The 8,459-nt window shown below is 44.9% G+C and overlaps 1 long non-coding RNA gene across 1 annotated transcript; it reads right to left on the reverse strand.

Moving 5' to 3' along the window:
* Positions 1-2,970: 2,970 nt before the first annotated feature.
* Positions 2,971-8,459, reverse strand: LOC124903292 (uncharacterized). The gene is made up of 3 exons (XR_007064086.1): positions 8,195-8,459; positions 4,570-4,684; positions 2,971-3,011 (listed from the first exon to the last, which is right to left on the reverse strand). It is a non-coding gene; the product is annotated as an uncharacterized LOC124903292 (long non-coding RNA).

The raw sequence follows: 8,459 nt of genomic DNA on the forward strand, positions 1-8,459 counted from the left end.
CCCGGTCTCTAAATCTTGTCTAGGCTGCCCTGGGTAGAGAGTCAGCTGGTGAAGAGGAGGAGATGGGCACACAAAGTCCTCACATTGCAGTTCATCCTTCCCCTCACCTGGCTCTGTCCTGCTAGCTAGAGAATCTGAGGATGGTCTCAGGCACAGCCTGAAGCCCCAGTACAGGAGCATCTGCCCTCTGAACTTACTGAGTCTCCTTCTCTGGCTGGAACTCTGGGCCTCCACGATGCTTTGGGGAGTGGCGTGTTGTGCAGCTTTCCATTGGGGTTTGGGATCTGCTTGGATTGAGTTCTGTGATGCCTTGGAACCCACTGCTGGACTTTCTACATTGTCATGGAGAGGAATTCCTGGAAATTCCAGATGCAGAAAGTGCACAGGGGTTTGGCTGCTTTTTTGGGAGCCTGTTTTAATGGCCTCAGTGTCTTGACTGTTCAGGTAGCCAATTCCCCACAAAGTGCTGCAGGGCCCCTGCTCTGTGCCAAGCCCTGTGCTAGGCTCCAGGGACATGCATCTCACTGCGGCCTTGACCTGGAAGAGCAGACTCTCTCTCATCACTAATGAGAGAGACCTTCCTGCCTAGAGACTGAGGTGAACAGAGCAATGAGTAATGGTGGGGAAGTCCCTGCGGCTTTGGGATGTCAGAGAAAGGCACTGAATCTGTCCTCTCTCGCTGCTTGTGTATCTCTTGTAGTAACAGTAGACAATTACGTTTTGAGATAACCTGTGAGTCCATCCCTTATGGTGGGAACATGACATTCTCTGAAAGGAACAGATGGTCCCAATGTTCATTCTACTGGAATAAAGAGCGTCTGGGGTCAGGAAATGGGGATTTGTTACTGAGGCCTTGGGTAGAGTTAGAGGAAGCATCTCTCTGTACTTCTCTCTCCTGGGCGTGAACCCTGAGGGCACTAGTTAGGCCAGGCTGTTCCCAAGCAGCCCCCACCAAGGTGAGGGAGAATCCTGGCAGGGCCGGGAGCCAAGGGCCAAGTGGCAAGGAGGCAGCTCCATTGCTGGGTGGCGCTCTACTTTTATGCTCCTTTGAGCAATTCCTTTCAGTTCTTCCTGGATGTCTTACTTTCCTAGGGCTGCTGAACCAAAGCACCACAAACCGGGTGGCTTAAAACAACAGAAATTTATCGTCTCACAGTTCAGGAGGCCAGCAGACTGAAATCAAGCTGTTGGCAGGGTCGGTTGCTTCTGCAGGCCCTGAGGGAGGATCTGTTCCATGCCTGTCTCTTAGCTCCTGATGGCTGCTGGCAGGCTTTGATGTTCCTCAGCTTGTCGAACCATCACTCCAATCTTGGCCTCTGTTGTCACATGGCTGTTCCCTATGGCTCCTCTGTGTCTGTGTCCAAATCTACCTCCTTTCTCTTATAAAAGACACTGATCATTGGATTTAGGGCCCACCCTAATCCACTATGACCTCATCTTAACTTGAATACATCTAGAAAGACCCTGTTTCCAAATAATGTCACATTTACAGGTACTGGAGCTCAGGACTTGAACATATCTCTTTTGGGGACCCAACTGAATTCCCTACACTGGGTTTCCTGCAAAATTTTGTCAGTCATTATGATCTCAATTTTGCTATGGAAGGTTAAGTAAAAGTGCCCGTGTTTGAGTCCAAGTAGTGAAGGGGAGAACATCGTCTTCTGATGCCAGCTTGGTAGATGCAGCCATAATTCATGGGATTCCCAAGGGAAAGGTGACTTTTGAAGGAGGAAAAAGTAGGAATTTGAGGCCCAAATCCTCAAGAAATTCTTCCTGTCCTGCTGCCCTTAGACAATCTTGGTGTTATTTTATTTGGGATGCTGGCCGACTGTAGATTTACTTACAACTACATTTCCAAACTGGAAAGAGTTAATAAGATGAAAAAGGAGTAAGTCATTACATGAGGATGGGATTCTTCATGAGTATTGTATATTAAAAGCTCTGAGGAGTCCTCTGAGAAATCCCATTAGCTGTTTAATCCAGTGTTTCCCAAACTTACTTAATCATGATGCTCTTTTCTGTAGGACAGTACTGTGTTCATTAATTACTCCCATGTAACACATTACCCCATAACGTAGTGGCTTAGAACAACAATGAAAAACTATTTCTCAGAGTTTCTGGGGGTCAGAAACTTGGAAGTAGCTTGGCTGAGCAGTTTTGGCTTGGTATCTTTCATGAGGCTACAGTCATTGGAAGTGTTGCTGGGACTGGAGGATCCATATTCTAGGTGGCTCAGTCACAGGGCTGGCAAGTGGGTGTTGGCTGCTGGTGGGAGGCCTCAGTTCTTCACCCTCTGGGCTCTCCACAGGGCTGCTTGTGTGTCCTCATGACATGGCAGTTGGGGCTTACCCCACCGTGAGCTACCCAAGAAGCCAGGGTGGAAACTTCATAACCTTCCCTTGGAAGGAACTGTCACCTCCACCATACCCTATTAATCACACAGACCAGCCCTAATTCAGTGTGGGGACACCAGAAGGTGAAGGTCATATGGTGCTATCTTGGAGGCCGAGTGCTACATTAATTAATTCACTCAACCAATATTAACCAGTACCTAATAGTGCCAGGCACTGTTCTAGACACTGAGGATACAACAATGAACACAACAGACATACACTTGTCTCCATGGAGCTCACATTCTAGTGATACTTCATTCAATGCTTGAGACAATTTGGGAAATGCTGTTTCACAGGTATTTGGAACAGTAAGTGAGAATTGTGAATACAGAATGATAAATGTGGCCAGGTGCAGTGGCTCACGCCTGTAATCCCATCACTTTTGGAGGCCAAGATGGGCAGATCGCTTGAGCCCAGGAGTCTGAGACCAGCCTGGGCAACATGGCAAAACCCTGTCCCTACAAAAAATACAAAAATTTGCCAGGTGTAGTAGTGCACGCCTGTAGTCCCAACTACTTGGGAGGCTGAGGTGGGAGGATCACTTGAGCCTGGGAGGCAGAGGTTGCAGTGAGCCAAGATGGTGAAACTGCACTCCAGCCTGGGTGACAGAGTGAGGCCCTGTTTAAAAAAAAAGAAAAAGAAAAAAAGATAAATGCTAAAACAGGAGAGAAACTCACAATATCAAGGGAATGAGGTCTCCTGACATAGGCTTGGAGAGTGGTCAGGGATGGTTTCCTGAAAGAGGTAGACGTGAAGTTAGCCAATCACAGGAGGAGTGGGAAGAGGAAAAGTGTTGCAAGCAGATGGAACAGCATGTACAATGCCCCAAAGCTTGATACAGTTGGAGAACGAAAGTGGCAGGAGCATACTATGTGTGTATATGTGTTATGTGTGTGCTCGTGCATGTGTGTGCCTGCCCATGCATGTGAGGTGGGGAGAAGAGGTGAAAGATGAGGTTAGATGAGGTAATTTGCTGTGGGAGGGGAGGCACAGAGATGTCAGTGATGGCATCCATGTGCCTGGTGTCAATCACAGTGATAGAGTATAGACGGGGAGAGAAGGGAGTGGAGAAAAGGAGTAAGAGAGGTTTGGGTTGGTTATGAAATGAAGAACTCAGTTTTGTTCACACTGAGTACAAGCCATCTTTGGGGTTGTCAAGAGCCTGTTACAGGTTAGCAATTCCGCAACTGCTTTCTATGCATACCAGTGTTGAACAAATAAGTAAATAAACTGTCGCTAGTGGGAGGCAGGTTTCTCACTGTCACAGAAAGAAGAGGGGTGTTAGGATGGTGGTGGTGCTGGATTTGAGCTGGAGATATCAGCATGAATTCATGTGCATTTTAATACATATATGTACACTCAATAGTATAGAATATCTTTAATAGATCCATATAGATATCTTTATCTATCTATAGATCTCTATATGGATTTATAATCCATAGATGTCTATATGGTGTGTATGTATGTACAAACAGATAGAGAAATAAATATAGATATGGTATACACACACACACAAACACACACACATATATATATATAAAATGTATGTTAGTATATATACTTATATTTGTTAGCTTTGTCTGCAAAGAGGGCCTAAAAGAAGTGATACCCCATTAGCAACAAGAGTACTTAGCACCCAGATCTTGGTTTCTAAATAATATTCTCCAATAAAGGAGCCAGGGTTCCTTGGAAAAATGGTTAATTCTTGAGCTGGGACAGGGAACACATAAGATGATCCTGGAACAACTTTTAGTGCCAGAAAATAAAGAAGTGCAAAAAAAAAAAAAAAAAAAGGGAAGGAAGGGGCATATCAAAAGGACACAGGAGCCAACCTGAAAGAGCTCCCAATGGCCAAATCTGGAACAGTTTGAGCAACGGTAATAGATAATAATATTGGATTATAACTCCAAGAGTAAAATAAACCTTTATGAATCCATACTGATGTAAATAAAGTCTTGAATAAATAACTAAATGAGAGAGAAGAACTAAATGCAGAAGAATTCTAATTATAAATGTATAAGGAATAAGGAAAATAGAAAATCAGTATTAGATCATCACAATAATAATTGCTACAGGCAAGATCCATTGATTAATGCTAAAAGCAGTAGATAAAACTTTAAGGAAAAACAGGACATTTGCAAAGCCTTCAAGTATCTGCCCCAAAATACATGAATACCTGAGTGGTTTTCACACACTATCACAAATTCTTTGATTTCCCTTTCTCCAGGAGGTGCAGCTTATTTCCTCTTGCCTTGAGTGTGCTCTGGACTTGGGGACCTCCTTCTTACGGACTATGGAAAGAAAAAAACAGTAACTTTACAGTAGAGAAACCTCACAAACACCACCTGAACCGAATGGTCAAGATGAAGATCACCAGCAATAAATCATGTTGACATCATGTGCCCCCATATACTGCAACGAGAAGCGCACATCACCTTTGTGCTACTCCTGCCAAAATCAACAACCTTAGTCTTTTCATGAGAAAACACCAGACAATCCCAGATTGGGGGACCTTCTACAAAATACCTAACCATGAGTCTTAAAAAGTGTTGAAATTTAAATTAAAAAAAAATTTTTCTTAAATAGGGTCTTACTCTGTTGCCCAGGCTGGAGTGCAGTGGCATGATCATTGCTCACTGCAGCCTTGGCTTCCCAGGCTCTAGCAATCCTCCCACCTCAGCCTCCAAGTAGCTGGGACTACAGGTGTGCACCACCACGCCGGGATAATTTTTGTATTTTTTGTAGAGACAGGGTTTTGCCATGTTGCCTAGGCTGGTCTCAAACACCTAAGCTCACGTGATTCACCCACCTGAGCTTCAAAGTGCTGTGATTACAGGTGTGAGCCACTGTGGCCCACCCACTTTACATGTTTTAATTCTAAATTTGCTGCAATCCTAAACCAAGGCTCAGAGCAATTGATTAAAAACAGCAGCAGCAGCAGAAGAAGAAAATACGTTAAGGAGGCCGGGCGCTGTGGCTCACACCTGTAATATCAGCACTTTGGGAGGCCGAGGTGGGTGGATCACTTGAGGTCAGGAGTTTGAAACCAGCCTGGCCAACATGGCGAAACTCCATCTCCACTAAAAATACAAAAATTAGCTGGGCATGGTGGCGCAAGCCTATAATCCCAGCTACTCGGGAGGCTGAGGCAGGAGAATCGCTTGAACTTGGGAGGCCGAGGTTGCAGTGAGCTGAGATCGTGCCACTGCACTCCAGCCTGGGTGACAGAGAGACTCTGTCTCAAAAAAACAAAAACAAATAAACAAAAAAAAAAACAAAAGAAGAAAACACGTTAAGGAGTATTATCTGCTCCAGGAGGCTTGACAAGCCCTTTACATACATAGCTCATCTTATTTAATCATCTCCCAACAATCCTGAAAAGTCTGTCCTGTTATTATTCCCATCTCACAGGTCAGGAAACTGAGGCACAGAGGGTTTAAGTAATGTCTGGAGTTCCACAGCTTGCCAGAGACAGAGCTGGGATTTGAAAGTCTATTTCCTAACTCCAGGTCCGGCGATCTTTTCCACAACACTGCAGCCAATTCCCCACCACATGGGTGAAATCAGATGAAAAGTAAACATCTAGGGCAGTCTTCAAATGAGGCAGCCAGACAGGCCACAGATCGAACTTCAGACTTTTAACCAAAGGTTCTGGGATTCATGCTCCCAGTTGGACACTGTTTACTTCTTAAGTAGTAAAATGAATGGGGTTGGATAGATCCAAACAGTGCCTAAGATCCCTTCCAATTCTAACACTCCAGGAGTTTATGTTTCAAAAGAACAACCTGCAGAGGAGCCTGCAGAATGGGACCCTCCCACTCAGGGTGGCCTGGTAGAATATAGGACATGCATGTCCCACCCCCAGTCCTCTCTGCAAAAGGTAGAGTCAGGGAGGGGAATATGGGCTGAGTGTTCGTACAATGAGGCTGGTTTTTAGCCCCCACGCACTCCCTTTCCCTACTGCATTCTTTTTTTTTTTCTTTGAAAGATGCTGCTCAGCCTTGGAGAGAAGTCTTCTTCATCCCTGATGGCAAAGGGCAGAGGAAGAGAGACGCCCAAGGGCTCGATCAGCCTTGGTACCTTGCCAACCCCCAGTCCCTAGCATCAAAGGTTTTTCCAAGACAGAGTAGGTAAATTTCAATTTTATTTTATTTATTTATTTATTTTTTTTTGAGGCAGAGTCTCACTCTGTCACCCAAGCTGGAGTGCGATGGCACGATCTCGGATGACTGCAACCTCTGCCTGCCGGGTTCAAGCAATTCTCCTTCCTCAGCCTTCCTAGTAGCTGGGATTACAGGTGTATGCCACCATGCCTGGCTAATTTTTTTTGGCATTTTTAGTAGAGGTGGGTTTTTGCCATGTTGGCCAGGCTGGTCTTGAACTCCCGACCTCAGGTGATCTGCCCGCCTTGGCCTCCTAAAGTACTGGGATTACAGGCATGAGCCACTGTGCCCAGCCTCAATTTTATCTTGTGTTGTTTTTGTATTATTTTCTCCATCCTCAAAACTCGGACACTTCCTAACTTAGCACCCATTGGCTACTGCTCATAGTCCTGCCTGGTTTGGGGTTTCCCAGTTTGGGGTGGATCTGGCTACACTTCATTTTCTGCCTCCATCGAGACTCCCTATTGTTTCTTTGAGGTTCCATTAGGTCAAGGCAAACACTTCTCTTGTTCTCCCAACATGTAGCAAAATGTCACAATTCTTTTTGGCTCCGTTGTTCATTAGCCACTCCATTTCGTTATTCTATTTGCACTACTTCATCATTGAGCAAACTTTTTTTTTTAATAAGGATTTGTGATGGTTAATTTTATGTGTCAATTTGGCTGGGCTAAGTGATGCCCATAGAGCTGGTAAAATATTATTTCTGGGTACATCTGTGAGAGTGTTTCTGGAAGAGATTAGCATTTGAATTGGTAGACTAAATGAAGATCTTCCCTCATCAATGTGGGTCCACATCACTCAATACATTGAGGGCCTGAGTAGAACAAAAAAGTAGAGGAAGGGCAAATTATCTCTATTTGAGCCCAGTCGTCCATCTTCTTTTACCCTCGGACATCAGAGCTCCAGGTTCTTGAGGGAAGGGCACACATAGATTAGTGTTTTCTGCACAATCAGTTCACTCACTTCTCCTTGTCTGACCCATGAATGTGTCCGTATCTTTTGAGGTTCATTGGTTCAGATGCTACAGACACCACCCTTCCCCAGGCTGCTGAAATGACTTTCAAACTTGGACTGAATTACACTACTGGCTTTCCTTGTTCTCCAGCTTGCAGTCAGCAGATTGTGGGGCTTCCTGACCTCCATAATCACATGAGCCAATTCCCATAATCTCTCTCTCTGTCTCTCTCTCTGTTTCTGCTATTGGTTCTGTTTCTTTGGAGAACCATGACTAACACAGGATTATAGAAACTGCAGGAGAAAATGTTAGTGCCTGTTGGGATTAGAAAGGCACATACGATAAAGCCCTATCCTCAAGGCTGCTGCAGCTGTGATAGGAGCTCCTCTTACAGCTCCATTTATTTGTTCACAAAGGATTTACTATGTGTTAATTATCAGGCAATGGTAGGCACTCAGGATACCAAGATCAACAAGATATGATTCCTGTCCTCAAGCAGTTCACACCTAAGAGATCACTAACTGGTGACTTGAGGCATTTGATTGGCAAGATGCCTTAATTATTTCTCTTTGTTATCTATGGCTGTGTAACAAATCACCCCAACTTAGTGGCTTAAAACCACAATAATTTACTTTTCCTCACAGTTCTGTGGCTTAACCTGGTGATTCTCCTCCTGGTCTCACCTGGGCACACTCATGTGGTTGCATTCAGATGGCAGTTTAGCTAGTTGGTCCTAGACAGCCTCACTCCCAAGTGTGAAGCCTCAGCTGGGGCGGCTGGAATGGCTGAGATGAGTTTCCTTCTGTCTGCCCATGCGACTTCTTTCTGCCGGTATCTCAATTTCCTTCCTTCCGGCTATCCTGGGCCTCTTTACACAAGAACAGAGCATTCCAAGAGGCTCAAAGTCAAAGTTGCAAGACTTTTTGAGGTCTCGACTCAGTGTTACAA

The sequence above is a fragment of the Homo sapiens genome, chromosome 14 (genome assembly GCF_000001405.40).
Source record: "Homo sapiens chromosome 14, GRCh38.p14 Primary Assembly".
In the NCBI taxonomy this organism is placed as follows: Eukaryota; Metazoa; Chordata; class Mammalia; order Primates; family Hominidae; genus Homo; species Homo sapiens.